This window comes from Homo sapiens, chromosome 10, assembly GCF_000001405.40.
Source record: "Homo sapiens chromosome 10, GRCh38.p14 Primary Assembly".
Lineage (NCBI taxonomy): Eukaryota > Metazoa > Chordata > Mammalia > Primates > Hominidae > Homo > Homo sapiens.
In genome coordinates this window covers 6,982,450-6,998,189 of record NC_000010.11, presented here as the reverse complement: position 1 = coordinate 6,998,189, position 15,740 = coordinate 6,982,450, and the positions used below count along the sequence as shown (strand labels likewise).

General features: G+C 41.1%; 1 long non-coding RNA gene across 5 annotated transcripts in view, besides 1 other annotated feature; it reads left to right on the top strand.

The window, feature by feature from the left end:
- The window catches only part of LOC105376387 (uncharacterized), a 294,200-nt gene that overhangs the window by 120,280 nt on the left and 158,180 nt on the right, over nucleotides 1-15,740 (top strand). For 3 of the 5 annotated variants that reach the window (NR_188186.1, NR_188184.1, NR_188185.1), the window contains exon 1: nucleotides 10,512-10,585. The exons of 1 other annotated variant lie outside the window; for it this stretch is intronic. This is a non-coding gene — a long non-coding RNA (uncharacterized LOC105376387). Of the gene's footprint in view, nucleotides 1-10,511; nucleotides 10,586-11,496; nucleotides 11,655-15,740 lie in introns of those variants that run through there. One more of the 5 variants, NR_188187.1, reaches the window with a different exon arrangement.
- Nucleotides 3,082-3,251: an enhancer, noted in NCBI's record as "experimental_16768 CRE fragment used in MPRA reporter constructs". NCBI's record gives its function as "activates a minimal promoter by MPRAs in K562 erythroleukemia cells, with activity observed for both the introgressed and non-introgressed 10:7036986 variant alleles {active_cell/tissue: K562}" and the evidence as "EXISTENCE:reporter gene assay evidence [ECO:0000049][PMID:34662402]".

The window sequence follows — 15,740 nt, the reverse complement described above, 5'->3', positions numbered from 1 at the left end:
TAGTTAAAGGCTGGGTGTTTAGGGTGGGGGAAGAATGATTAGGAGGAGCATGGGGGAATTTTAGGGCATTGAAAACACTCTTTGTGATACTACAACAGTGGATTTTTCATGCCATTATACATTCGTTCAAACCCATACAACGTTCACACTAAGAGTGAACCATGATATAAACTCTAGATTTGGGGTGATAATGATGGTTCATCAGTTGCAACATAAGTACCCTCTGGTGGGGGATGTTAATACTGGGTGAGGCTGTGCACATGTGGAGGTAGGGGATACAGGGAACTCTCTGTACCTCCTGCTTAATTTTGCTGTGAACCTAAATCTGCTGTAAAAAAAAAAAAAAAAAAAAAAAAAAGCCTAAAAAGAAGCAGCAGCTGGGTTACCAGTTATTCTACATGAGTTGGAAGTGGAGGATTCAACTGTTCCCTAGACTGTCTTCTAATCACCTATTTTTCTTGTCACATTACTCATTACCCACTCCTGCTAACACCAGTTTTGAAGCCTTTCTGTAGCTCTGCCAGAAATTGTGGCTTTTATAACTGCTGCAGCCTTTCCCTTAAGTAATAGATTATGGACTCCGGCCCCCTTGCAATTTTTCTGTTCTCTTCATGGGTGTGGGTAAATCACTTAGTCCTTCTTTACTACTATTTCAGTAAAGTTTCAGGGAGGCACATACGTGTTCTCAGTCTGCCATCTTGAACTGAAACCCGGAAAGCATTTAGACAAATATTTCTGGGTCCCAACCCCATACCTACTGAATCTAAGTTACCTTGTCTGCTGGCCAGATAAAAAGAAAAAGGTAGGTGTGTGTGTGTGTGTGTGTTTTAAATCTCCTGATGACTCTGAAGCAAACCTTCCCTTGAGCAGTGATTGGCCCCTGGGCTGCTGGATCCAGCCCCAGGTCCCAGGCAGATGGGCAATCTGCTCTTTCTCTGCTACCCCAGCCATCCAAACAATTTATATTTTCATTTTGTCCACCATGATATTTCATACTTTTGTGACTGCCTGGATTTCATACGTTGTCTTTTTCACTTGATCAATTACATTCATCCTTCATTCTGTCTTTGATGGAAAACCTTTTTAGTTGCTCTCCTGCCTACAGGGCCTTGCATAGGATGGGCACTTGATATAATAGCATGATTTATACTAGAATTCAGCTGGGTTATGTGGATTAACATGGCGGAAGAAGGACAATGCTAGCAAATAACTAAAAAGTATAGTAGCTCAAAGAACAACTGTATTTTCTGGGCTAATAAATGATAAGAAATTAAATGTTTCTTAAATTGAAATAGAAAAAAAGCATGCAATTAATTTCTGTATTTCCCTTTTGACCTCAGAAGCCTCCATGTCATTTTTTATTTTCATCTATGTCTTTAAATTTTGTGCAACTCCTTAGGTCATGAAAGAGGTACCGTCCTATATCCTATGATAGCAGCCCAGCTGTGTGTTAAGACACAACCTAAAGAAAAGTTTATGTAGGGTGGGAGGCGGGAATGTAAATGTTGTTCACTGGCTGTGTTGAGCTGAATGTACCAGGCTTAGAAGTACAGTCCTCTGGATTCCAAGTGTGATGACAAAGAGAAATAGATTCAGATGTCAGTGAAGACAAAGGCATGTTTATTTAGACATACGTTTCAATGTCGTCTCCTGGGGAAAGCTTACTTCATGCTGCAGCCATAGGAAAGGGCTTGGAGGGTCTCAGGTGAATAAGCCTATATGCTAATTTACTAATTAGCTTCAGGGACTTAAATTTTACTCATCATGAATGCAAAATCTGATGCTTCCCATTGTGCCAGATGCTTTCGCAGATCAAACCCTGCAGAGAGGAATAATTTTTCTCTTGGGGAGGAATTTTATAAGCTGTTATATTACCTTCTACATTGCAACGAACCTCTTCTGGATCCATAAGTTTTGTAACTTAGAATTTTTTTTTTTTTTTTTTGGCATTGCGGTAAAAGACAGATAATCAATTCAATTCAGACATCTACTGAACACTTGCTCGGTTTCCACCTGGAATCTGAGCTCCTGACACAGGAATTGTCTTACCCATTTTTGCAACTGCAGCACTAGCTACAGTGCCAGATAGATAGTAGGGCACCAAGAAATATCTGTTACGTGATTGATGAATCATTGAAGAGCAGAAGGGGAAGCTGGTGGAATCATATCCTGCCTTTGTCTCCGTCCATGAGGAACTCACAGTCTACAGCAGGGATCACACAGTGACGTGTCTATAGGGCCAGGAATGTAGAAATGAATGAGTGAAATGAATTGAGTAGAAGAAAAACAAGCTGCCAGAAATATAGTCAATCTTTCTCTATTTTTAAAGATGTATTATTATAAGGTCATAACAAAATATGTGTAATAGTAGAGAATATGTTATCAATTTGAAAGTAAAAGTTAAAATAAATGTACTTAATATGTCTTATAATATATTTTAATACATTTTAATATGCAATTCATTAAAATTTTTATTTATGCTTTATGATTTTTAATTTTGTCATTCATCATGCTTTTGACTAGGATATAGAAACATGACAGTTCCTTTTTACTTTTTTGTCCGAACGTGACAATGTCAGATTGTGTGTTCTGTGTAAACCAGAATTCATCCTTAAACCTTTAACAGTCAGTGACATGTAGTTTTCTGCGGTTTCATAATGAAAACCAGCTGTTCACAAATATAGGTATTTTAATGTGGATAGATTCTTGCACAGTGATTTTCATTGTTAAAGTAACTACTCTTGAGCTATTTGTAAAATTCTGCTTTTCTAACATCATTGTAAAATTTACTTTTCAGTGAAGTGTAGTACAGTAAATTCCATTTGTAGTTTTTATTCAAATTACATTAAATCAGAGTGTGAATTGAACCCTGTAAGTGCACTGCATAAAGTTTGAAATCTGAGATTTTTTTTTCTTTTGCCATTCAGTCTTCAGATCTACAGTTTTGGAAGTGTTTCATTTGCATTTCAGAAAATTGGTTTGAGAGGGAAACTGAGTGGTATGACTTCTTTTAAAATGACATGTGAACAACTTCGTAGGAAGTTAAAATTTCATGGGACGTGTTAATGTCAACCCAAAAGGCTAAACCTGTATTCATGCTTTGCTGGTGAAAGGTGGTGAGATGTTTTTCTTTGTATTGAAGTAACATGCCTATTTTAGCCAAAAATTGATACAAATCTCTTTGTCACCTGGCACAACCAGATCATCTGACCTCCATGTTGTAACACCATGCCACACTTTGAGTCCAATAGGTATAATCTGTCTCTGGTTGTACATCTAGGGGCAGAGAGTGTTCAAGATGTTGCACTTCTTAAAGTTTTATAATAAACTATTATTCCTGAGTGAATGATTTAACAGCTAAATACAATGCCTTTGCACACTATTAACATATTGCAGTTAAGTACGCTAGCAAGTCTAACTCTGACCTTGACCGTAGCTTATCTGTAGTTCAATTTACTAATTGGGACCAGTTCACATTAAATTTTCCAAAACTTTTCTCAACACAACACAACATGTCATGTCCTGATATGTGTAGCTGTCACTGGTACCATGTCCAGAGGTTTGGTCATATCAAAACTCAATGGAAAAGATGAACAAATACAACTAACTGGCAGCTATCATCTGTGCTTGCCTCAACTGTAATAGAAAATATCATATAACTTATCTATTTTTAAGCAACTTGCCCTGAAAATTCTCAGCTTTATTGTTAGAATTCAGAACAAAAGCAACTGTGGTTAGATTTATAAATGCTTCTTTCTTTCCCATACCTAGCCACCTCTGTAGATGCTCGCTATAAACTCACCAACTGAAAAGGTTTTAATGCCTGGGCCAAGTTTTCACTTAATGTATAACTGTGTTCCCCAGCAGCATTGCTTATTTTACTCACACTATAAATAAACCTCTTGAAATTTTATTTTGTTTTTCATTTCATTAGATTTTTTTGTCATACTTGATTCAGGTGAAACTTACTGTGAATTGCTTTATATTGACTTTCTAAATTATATTCTTTTAACAAACTTTTTTCATACCAAACACTTTTTTTTATACTAAACATACAGGACTATTCTTTCATCTAGCAAAAAAGCGAGTTCTTTCCCATTCTGATTAACAGCTTTGGCCTCTTGGTGGATCTTGTTTTATCAACTCTCGGAAACGTGAATGCGAGATAGCTATCGTTTTCTTCCTTAAAAAGCAATAGGGAAGGCATGGTGGCAAAAGGCAAAAACGTGAGACCACAACCTTGGGAATGGCAGGGAGTGGCAGAGGCTGGAATACTGGGATGATGGTGCTTATCTGGGGGCTGCAGCCACTGTTCAGCCCCAGCCAGCAGCGGCCATAGACATGTAGGCTTAGGTTCTGCACATGAACTGCTGTTTGCAATAGTTACAGAGGTCACCTAGGAACAATTTGCAATATAAACAGTTCATCTTACTCTTAAATTTGTTTATATGTGTTAATTATTCATGCTTTTCCCTCCATATATTATTCATGCTTTTGTTTTCTATATTTTGATGCTTTGACATCTTGGGGTCTTGTTAACTTTGGAGGAACTCTTCCCTCGCCTATCCAGGGTTAGTCAATTCCTAGAGAAGGCAAACAACTCACCTATCAGCATACCTTTTGTATGCAAACTAGCCAATTATTTCTTCTTTTTTTTTTTTTTTTTTTCTTTTTGAGATGGAGTCTTGCTCTGTTACCCAGGATGGAGTGCAGTGGCATGATCTCGGCTCACTGCAACCTCCAACTCCCAGGTTCAAGCGATTCTTCTGCCTCAGCCTCCTGAGTAGTTGGGACCACAGAAGCCCACCACCACACCCAGCTAACTTTTTTGTTGTTGTTGTATTTTTAGTAGAGACAGGTTTCACCATGTTGGCCAGGCTGTTCTCGTGCTCCTGACCTCATGATCCACCCACGTTGGCCTCCCAAATTGCTAGGATTACAAGCGTGAGCCACCATGCCTGGCCCCAGCCAATTATTTCTAAGACCTCCTGTGCCCGATTCTCACACTCTGAGCCACTATCCCCTGCTCTAATCACCCTGATGCCAGGTGCCAGGCAGCTGTGGACAGGGGACTCCTATGAGATGTCCCCAGAGCCTGCTGACGTGTCAACTAGCTGATCCTAACCTGCTCACCTTGTCTCCACCATTCCTTCCCACGAAGACCACGATACAGGTTCTTGTCCACATTTTCACCCACTCTCTGCCTCCTAAGTGACCCAGGTGTCTCCACGTTACCCCCATAGCATGCCATACCTCTTCCTTTGGGATCTGTGAGTAACAAACTATCTTTTCGATGGCAGCTGTCTCCTGAACTGTCGCCCCCACCATACCTAAATAATACTAAAACTTCAGTTTTGAAATCATAAGAGACTAGCTGTAACACGAAAAGTGGTAAAAATTCTTAAATTAGCAACCAGATATAGATCCAACACTTGAATTGTAAATTATTTTATATTCATAAAAATGTTTAATGAGATTTATTTAAACTTTCTAAAGTTTTAACTTTAACATTTCTTAAGTGATTTTGAATAAATATTTTGATATTGATTAATCATGATTTGTATTTTAGAAGAAAATATGTTTTCTTATGGAAAACATGAAACAAATGATAGTTAAACTTTTTAACCTTAATTCATGTTTTTTTTTGTTTTGTTTTTTTTTTTTTATTGATCATTCTTGGGTGTTTCTCGCAGAGGGGGATTTGGCCGGGTCATAGGACAATAGTGGAGGGAAGGTCAGCAGATAAACAAGTGAACAAAGGTCTCTGGTTTTCCTAGGCAGAGTGTTTGTGTCCCTGGGTACTTGAGATTAGGGAGTGGTGATGACTCTCAACGAGCATGCTGCCTTCAAGCATCTGTTCAACAAAGCACATCTTGCACCGCCCTTAATCCATCCAACCCTGAGTGGACACAGCACATGTTTCAGAGAGCACAGGGTTGGGGGTAAGGTCATAGATCAACAGGATCCCAAGGCATAAGAATTTTTCTTAGTACAGAACAAAATGAAAAGTCTCCCATGTCTACTTCTTTCTACACAGACACAGCAACCATCCGATTTCTCAATCTTTCCCCTCCCCTTTCCCCCCTTTCTATTCCACAAAACCGCCATTGTCATCATGGCCCGTTCTCAATGAGCTGTTGGGTACACCTCCCAGACGGGGTGGTGGCCGGGCAGAGGGGCTCCTCACTTCCCAGTAGGGGCGGCCAGGCAGAGGCGCCCCTCACCTCCCGGACGGGGCGGCTGGCCGGGCGGGGGGCTGACCCCCCACCTCTAATTCATGTTTTTAATGAAAATATATTTAAATTTTGTGTATCTTAAGTAAAACTATTTTTAATCTTTTAGATCATTACTATTAATAAAACAAATTGTGTGAATATTGATTATGACAACATAATAGTGATTTTATTGAAATCAATCCAGCAAAACAAATTTAGAGAAATAAATAGAAAATAATTTATGAATTATTTACCCATATTTCATTACTTCTTCGAGCATCATTGGTCTACCCAATGCATGCCCACAGCATGCCCAGACATGCGCAATAATAATAAATTCAGTTGTCATTGGTATTTTGATGATTTGCTGTCAGATAGAGAACCATAGCTTTATCCATATTTAAAAATTTTGTCATTATGCTGGCATGTTTGTTAAAATAGGAAAATAGAACACATGCTTTTTAATAGTTTGATTGACTTATGACTTTTTTTTTAAGAGGCGGGATCTCACTCTGTCACCCAGGCTGGAGTGGAGATGTGAACAGAGCTCCCTGCAGTCTCCAACTCCTGGACTCAAGCAATGCTCCTGCCTCAGCCTCCCAAATAGCTGGGACCCCAACCATATAACACCATGCTCGGCTAATATTTTTATTTCTGTAGAAATGGGGTCTCACTTTGTTGTCCAGGCTAGTCTCAAACTCCTGGCTTCAAGCAATCCTCCCACCTTGGCCTCCTGAAGCTCTGGAATTACAGGTGTGAGCCACCATGGCTGGCCTAATTTATGATTTTTAAATGTTTAGGTATATGGTTTATTGGCCTGCCTTGATCTTCTAGCCCAAGCCCCACAAATTTAGAGGCAGGTGGCAGACACACTTCCTTCCTTCCTGTTTCTCAAACTGATAAACCTCCTCCTACCATCTGTTCTAGCATGAAGCTTTTTCTCTGAGATCTTCTGATGGCCCCTACCTTGGTCATTGAGTCTCAGCTTCAACACCACCTCTGTGGGAGGCTCATCCCTGATGATCCAGGCCCTGTAGCACTACCTTGCTTTATTTTTCTTGTATCTTGTATCATTTCCAGCTATTTCCAAATCTATAACTCTGTATATATTCTGTCTTCTATCTCTAGGCTGTAGACCCTTAATCAATTAAATCAGAATCCGATGTAGGGCCCGGCAGCAGTATTTTTCTTAAATCACTTAAAATACTCTGTAATGTGCAGCCGGGCTTGAGAACTCTCGCCCTGGGGTTGCACTTAGTGATATGCTCAATAAAAGAAACAGAAACGTTTAGGGAAGCCTTGTTTGCAACAGAAAAAAAAAAGTTTAAAATAACTGAAATATATAGCATCAGGAAAATGGAGATGTAAATTATGGTATATTCATAAAGTATAATACATACTATACATCGTTTAAAATAAATTACTTAGAACTACATAAATCAGCATGGATAAATCCTCCAAGTACATCGAGTAAGAAAAGCAAGTTATAGAAAGATATGTATGGCACAGCCCTATTTATAAAAAAGTGAAAAAGACGTAAAACTGCATGATGTATGAGTATGTACATCTGTAAGAAAATTTAATTTTTGAAAAAGTTTTGGAATGACAAACACCAATTTCAGGAAAGTGGTTATTTCTGGAAAGGGAGATGTACAAGGATTAGGGAAAAAAAAAAAACCAAACACAGCAACTTTACCTCTTTGCTTTATTTCTTAAAAAAGACAAGAAAGATCTAAAGTGAACGTGGGAACGTGTTGGGTTTAACACAGCTTACTCTTTCCACTTTTCTGCATCCTTGAAATATTTTGTAACAAAAAAAGATGATAAATTTACACCATGTTTTTTGAGGTACTATCAATAGGGGTTAATGATCATTTTTGTCAATCATCTGGCCTTTTCCCGTATTTTTGCAGCAATTATTTTCTTAACTCACTTCTAAGTCTTCTTTAATATCTGAGAATGTAGAGAAAACCTGAGAGCCATCCGGGTTCTTCTCACACTTTAATAAGGAAATTTTGCTCCTGCCCTTTGGATGCTTATTGAATCCTACTTAAATTTCCCATTCTCAGAAAAGTCTAAACCATGGTTCTTATCCCTATGCTCATGACTCATCCATTAATTCATTTGCTTACTAATTCAATTAGTATTTCTGAACACATTTTTTTTTTTCAGAGTCTTGCTCTGTCACCCAGGCTGGAGTGCAGCAGTGTGATCACAGCTCACTGTATCACTGTAGCCTCGACCTCCTAGGTCCAGGTCATTCTCCCACCTCAGCCTCCCAAGTAGCTGACACTACAGGCATGCACCACCACACCCACCTAATTTTTGTATTTTTGGCAGAGTGGAGGGCTTACTATGTTGCCCAGGCTGATCCTGAACTCCTGAGCTCAAGTGATCTGTCCACCTTGGCCTCCCAAAGCACTGGGATTACAGGCACACGCCACCATGCCCAGCCCAAACACACTTCTAAAGTGGAGGTGTTGGTAGAATTTTATTCTGAATATACCTTCTCTTACCCTGTTCCTCAGTCTGCCTTCAGATCTCAACTTAAAGTATCATTTTTGTTGTGTTTATGGCATATGTATTTCAGATAACACGAAGAATTTCACAGCTAGTTATATTATTCATTTTTAGATTCTCACCCACTTCATAAGGTGTGATTTAGATTCCTGAAAGTTCCCCACGTGTCACTAACAGAACAATCTGAATGGAAAACGCAAGGCTTGTGTGAAGTTCCGTAAGAATGGATGGTCTTGGAGCCAGCTGGTGGGGCCTTATAATTCCTCCTCTAAGGCCAAAGCTCTGGGGCTCTACTGAATATCCAGAGGGCCTTAGAGATGTGTCATTTATTTATTTATCTTTTTTGAGACAGGGTCTCACTCTGTCGCCCAGGCTGGGGTGCAATGGTGTAATCATAGCTCACTACGGCATGAATCTCCTGGGCTCAAGTGAGCCTCCTGCCTCAGCCTTCTGAGTAGCTGGGACTACAGGTGTGAGCCACCAGGCCCGGTTTATATTTTAATTTTTTGTGGAGATGGGGTCTTGCTATGTTGCCCAGGCTGGCCTCCAACTCCTGGCCTCAAGCAATCCTCCTGTCTTGCCCTCCCAAAGTAATGGGCCCACGGATGTGTCATGATGTATTACAGTTCCTGTTTCTTGAGGCCCCAGATCACGTCTACCCCTCCTGTAGCCCTGGCATTTGTCCTTTCCATTAGTCATGTCTTCACTTAACAGCAACTTTCTGTTTCATGTTGTTGGGGACTTGGTGCCATCCCATTGACTTAAGATACTGGAATTACTGGGTGTTCCTCTTCTCCTATCTTTTTTATCAAAGTCTGCTAGGCTTTCAATTACCTGCTAATACCTACCTTTGATATATCCTTTTTCTTTCTTTCTTTTCTTTTCCTTTCTTTCTTTCTTTCTTTCTTTCTTTCTTTCTTTCTTTCTTTCTTTCTTTCCTTTCTTTCTTTCTCTTTATTTCTTTCTTTTTCTTTCTTTCTCTTCTCTCTCTCTCTGTCTCTCTCTCTCTCTCTTTCTCTGTTTCTTTTGAGACAGGGTCTCACTCTGTTGCCCAGGCTGGAGTGCAGTGGTATGATCTTGGCTCACTGCAGCCTCGACCTCCTGGCCTAAGCAATCCTCCTGTCTCAGCCTCCCAAGTAGCTGGGATTACAGACACGTACCACCATTCCTGGCTAAGTTTTTCTATTTTTTGTAGAGATGGGGTTTCACCATGTTGCCTGGGCTGGATATTCTTTGCTTTTAAAAATGTAGAGAAAAGCAAAAAAAAAAAAAAAAAAAAAAAAAAGGAAAAGAGGAACAGAGGAACATACATTTTTTTAAAAAAATCAGTCAGATCCCAGTTTATTCCCCAAATTCTTAATTAAATTCCCCAAGTGAATTTACAAAGGAAACTCCACACAGCACACCACAGAAGCCCTGATAAAGTGTGTTGTCCCCAAAGCTTAGAAAGACATGAGTACAAATCCGATAGAACCTGGGAAACTGCACTTTTCTGTGGGGGGGGAGGTGAGGGATGATTCAAGTCAGAGCCTTACTTTTCATTCAAGTGTGAAAGAAACACAACTTTTCAGGATGAAATTGGCTGGAGGGAAATGTCACGCCGGCATGTGCAGTCTGACGGGGGACAGCTGGCTGGAAAGGCGTAAATCAGAAACCAGCCTCACCTCCTTGCTGTGGAAATTGCCACCAGAATGCTTATAAATAGCGCTCTCTGTTCCCAGTTCTGTCAGGGGGAGCAGTGGGTATTTTGATGAAAGCCACCCCTGTCTACAGCTCAGAAGCAGACTCAATGGTTTCCTTGTGAGAGGTCCGGCTCCCTGGCCTAGAAATGGAGGCCTCACGGGCAGGAGGTACCTGGGACTCCGTGGGGGCTGTGATACTAGGTTTGCCTGGGGAGTGGGGGCCCTTTGGGACCAGAGGGCAGAGGCCTTGGGCTGTCATGGCTCAGCGGGCAAATCCTACAGATTTTAGTTGCCCAGCAGAGGTCAGGAAAGTTGACCCAGAGCTCAAGGAAGCCACACTCTCAGCCCAGCCTGTGCATTAGCCCGAGGCTTCTTTAGATCCCTGAACTATTGGTTTCCTGAGTTTGGAGAGTTGGGATGGACAGTCCCAACTAGGTGCTCCTAGCGTCTTCCAAACTACTTTTCGCCTGTGACTATCGAGTTCAACCAAATCCCATAAACATTCTGCTAAGCCCTAGGGGATCTTTATTTTTATGGGGGCAATACAGAGTTCCCAAATATTTCTGACCCATCGGACCTGGCCGTCTCTGATCACAGAGGCTGTGGTTCTGTCTGTCATTTCCCTGTAATGCTAGCGAAATGCACTCCACATAGGTGCCGGTTTCCCGCCTGTTAAACGGAGGAGTAACCACTTCACTGGTCTGCTTGGGGCCCAGTGCGATGCCTCTGAACCTCTGTTCCAGAAGAGTGCAGTGGAAATTCCAGGGCAGGCTGTGAAAGGAGCTTCCTTCTGTCTTCAAGGGCATTAAGAGACTCCACTTATAGCCACGCTGACTTCAGGCAGAGAGAAGCATTAGCTTCAGGAAGAGGCATTCTTCGTGGAAACCAGAGAATGTCCTCTGTGCATTGCTCTGGGCAACTCATTGATTAAAATGCAACTCAGGCAAATCAAACACAAATAATATTGAATCTAGGACTGATCAAAGTCAGAGATAATCCCAGACAACGCTTGAAGTTGTACAGAAGCATATGTGTGTGTGTTTTCTTTTTTTTTTTTTTTTTCATATGACTGCCAAAAGAGGTGGAGAAAGAGAATGTCTGGATCCTTCTAGGGGCTGGTTAGAGGGACTGGAAACACGGGTTCCAGGCCTGGCTCCTTGTGTGAGGCTGCAGCACAGCAGCCCCTTGTCCAAAGGTGCTCTGTTCCAAGACCACCAGTGGATGTCTGGAACTGCAGGTAGTACCGGACCCTTCATATACTGTGTTTTCTCCATCTGATAACCAAGGTGGCTACTGAGTGACCAGTGGGTGCATAGTGTAGACAGCTGGATGAAGGAAGAGTTCACATCCCAGGCAGATCAGAGTGGGGCAGTGCAGGAATTCATTACTCTACTCAGCACAGGGTGCCATTAAAAACTTGTGAATTGGCTGGCCGGGCACGGTGGCTCACGCCTGTAATCCCAGCATTTTGGGAGGCTAAGGTGGGCGGATCACGAGGTCAGGAGATCGAGACCATCTGGCTAACACGGTGAAACCCCGTCTCTACTAAAAATAGAAAAAATTAGCCGGGCGTGGTGGCGGGCGCCTGTAGTCCCAGCTACTCGGGAGGCTGAGGCAGGAGAATAGCATGAACCCAGGAGGTGGAGCTTGCAGTGAACCAAGATCGTGCCATTGCACTCCAGCCTGGGTGATAGAGAGAGACTCCATCTCAAAAACAAAAACAAAACACAAAACATATGAATTGACTATTTCTGGAAATTTCCATTTAATACTTTCAGACATGGGGGACTACTGTCATTCCATGTCGAGGAGTCAGTCTCTCATCTGCTATGCCACAGGAGGGAGGGCTTGAATGAGGCAAGGGCACAGGCTTCCCCCAGCATCCGTGGTCTCTGGTTCAAATCCGTCCTTCCCAGGTTTCTTGCTAAAGGCTGCGGAAAGGTGACCCAGGGCCTGGCGCGTCCCCCCCGGAGCACCTCCTCCTGCTTGCACTTTTTTCCCTCGCACATCCATTTAATCTTAGTTTCTGTAACTGGTGAGCAAAAGCAGCTGTTTCCTTTGCTGACTCTACCTTCTTTGGGCTGTCAACATATGTACTGCTTGCGATGGCTTTGGGGCCAAATGCTTATGTTTGATTAACTCAGATTTAAAACACACCAACCATGGAGGCACTAATTCTGCTGGATTTATCTGTCACGTCAGTAGCTTTCAAAAAATAGCATGGCTCCTAGTTAGAAAGCACGAAAGCTGCATCTGCGGCCGGGCAACCAAGGAAAAGGCAATTTTAGATGGGATTTTCATTTGATAAAACCCAAACTCCAGGTTGTCTCTTTAAGGACCAAGGATCACCCACAAAAGTGCTTTTAAGTTATGTTATTCAAGGAGAAGAACCCATCTATATTCTGGTTCTGACCAATTATGCTTTCACTCAGTTTATCTTCTTAGGTTTTAAATACTTTTCTATAAAAAAAAATCCTTCAAAATGTAGTTTTATGATGAGTCAAGTACTGCTGCTGTGCCTTAAGCTAGAATAAAACCCACAGAATACATTTAAATGAATTACAAAGTGTATTATACTCTGAAAATCAGCATTCAAATGCACATTAATTTTCGCAGCTCTTAAATACTTCGGTTGCTGAGGAACTGCCTCCATTCTATAATTGAAATAGCTCTTCAGATGCAATTTAGTTGCTGATTGGTTTTTAAGTATTTTTAAAAGCTAACAGCTCAGACAGAAAAAGGTGGTATACCCTTGAGTTTTAAATAGGAACAACAGATGTCACCAGGCCACTGGAAGCCACATTTATTTCATCCAGAGAAAGGGTGCTCTGCCCAAAGCTTGGCACACTGTGAACTGTTCAGGAGACCATAAAGCTGGCTGGACATCAAATACGAGATCTTAGTTATGAGGAAGCTGTTATCATTTGAGTGAATGGGCCATGTCTCTTTTTAACTCCTCCGCTCACACCTTTTATTCTCTTGCCTTTTGCTACCCCTGGCTTTTTGTCAGTTTCAAGAAATGCCAAGTAGGAAAGGATGGCAAAACAGAAAAGCAAGTCCACGTTGATAGTCATAAGCAGGTGGATACCTGCAGGCGTGACTGGGAGAAGTTTAATCCATTCCCCATTTGCCCCAAGAGATGAGTGCTGGCAGCCAGCTATGCGTTTTGTTTTCTAAATGGGAAATGAGTAAACAAAAGAACTAAATCAGATATTGAAATGCTCTGTGGATTTAATTTTTTAAAATATCCTAAGCAGCAAAGGATGTAGCAAGGCAGCTGTCTACCTGCAAAAACAGGGAGTAACTTCAAGATAAGAAAAATCACCTAGTGAAGAACCAGAAATACCATTTGACCCAGCAATCCCATTACTGGGTATATACCCAAAGGAATGTAAATCATTCTAGTATAAAGATACACGCATGTGTACATGTGTTGCAGCACTATTCACAATAGCAAAGACATGGAATGAGCCCAAATGCCCATCAACAATAGACTGGATAAAGAAAATGTGATACATATATACCATGGAATACTATGCAGCCATCAAAAGGAACGAGATCATGTCCTTTGCAGGGATCCGGGTGGAGCTGGAAGCCATTATCCTCAGCAAACTAACACAGGAACAGAAAACCAAACACTGCATGTTTTCACTCGTAAGTGGGAGCTGAACAATGAGAAGACATGGACACAGGGAAGGGAACAGCACACACTGGGGCCTGTTGGGGGGCTGGGGAACGGAGAGTATCAGGATAAATAGCTAATGCATACAGGGCTTAATACCAAGGTGATGGGTTGATAGGTGCAGCAAACCACCATAACACATGTTTACCTATGTAACAAACCTGCAAGTCCTGCACCTGTATCCCAGAACTTCAAATGAAATAAAATTAAATATTAAGAAAGAAGGAAAGAAGGAAGGAAGGAAGGCAAGAAAGAAAGAAAAAATCTAGTGATTCTTTCTCAGCTGTGTGCCTCCTTCTTAATATTTTTAAAATCTGTTTTTGGTTTTGCTCATGTGTTTTGAGGCAGGGTCTCACTCTGTCACCCAGGCTGGAGTGCAGTGGTGCGATCACTGCAGCCTTCACCTCCTGGGCTCAAGTGATGCTCCTGCCTCAGTCTCTCAAGTAGCTGGGACTACAGGCACTCGCCAACACACCCAGCTAATTTTTTCTACTTTTTGTAGAGACGTTGGCCGGGCTGATCTTAAACTCTGGGCTCAAGGGATCCTCCCACCTCGGCCTTCCAAAATGTTGAGATTACAGGCCTAAGCCACCACCCCGGGTCCTTCTTAATATTAACAGAGCTATTTTGAACTCAGTAATGACGGGATTAATAGCCCATGTCGACAAAAACATGGCAGATAAAGTTAGCACCTTCCCTAAATTTCTCACTAACTGAGGGTCAATCGTCAAGTTACCTAAACTCTGTTTCTTAACTTTCTTTCATGACAGTAATATTTCTGATACATTGTTGGCTGAACTGTTGCAGACTTCACATATACTGTAATAAAGCTTGAAAATCACAAATTGCTATGAGAATGTAAAGCAGAATCACTACTAAGGAATTATGAAGAATAAGATTTGGGAGAGGAATCTATTGATCTTGCTAGGGGGAAAACCTCCAAAACCTTTGGAATTCTTTGGTGTGTTGTAGCAAATCAGATAATTTGTACACAAGCAAAGATTCATATTCAAAGACAGGTTAATTGTGCCTTATAAATTCTGTCTCTCTGTTTAGGAGACCATGTAAATGTTGAGAAGGTAAATTTTAAGCGATGGAAAAAATCTACTCTTTGAACTTTCATATTAGCTATATATAACATGTCCAGAAAAAAATGAATGAAGACAGAGAAACTGTTGGCTAACGAAAAGAAACATAATAATAATATCTACCTACCATTTATTGTGCATTTAACCATGTGCCCAGCAATTAGCCACATCCTTTTCATTTATTTTAATGTTCACAAAAACCCTATGGGGTAAATATTATAAATATCTCCTTTTTTTAAGTGAGAAAACTGAGCCCTAAAGAAGGCAAGCAATGTACTCAATCTCATACAATGAGTTGGCAGCAACATATATCCTAAAAGGCTTTTTTAACCTAAAGAACATTATGCAGAGCTCTACAGATTGCTAACAATTCATTACGAAATACCTCTCACAAAGTTTCACTCACATGAACTATGGTCTCCAGGGGAAGCCATGAGTTGTTAGGAAAATTCCTACAATTGTGGAGAAGGGTAAGGAGAAGAGATTTCAATTAATTGATGGTTCTTTTTTTGTTTGTTTGTGGTAGGTACTACGATGTCTGGCTTATTGGTCG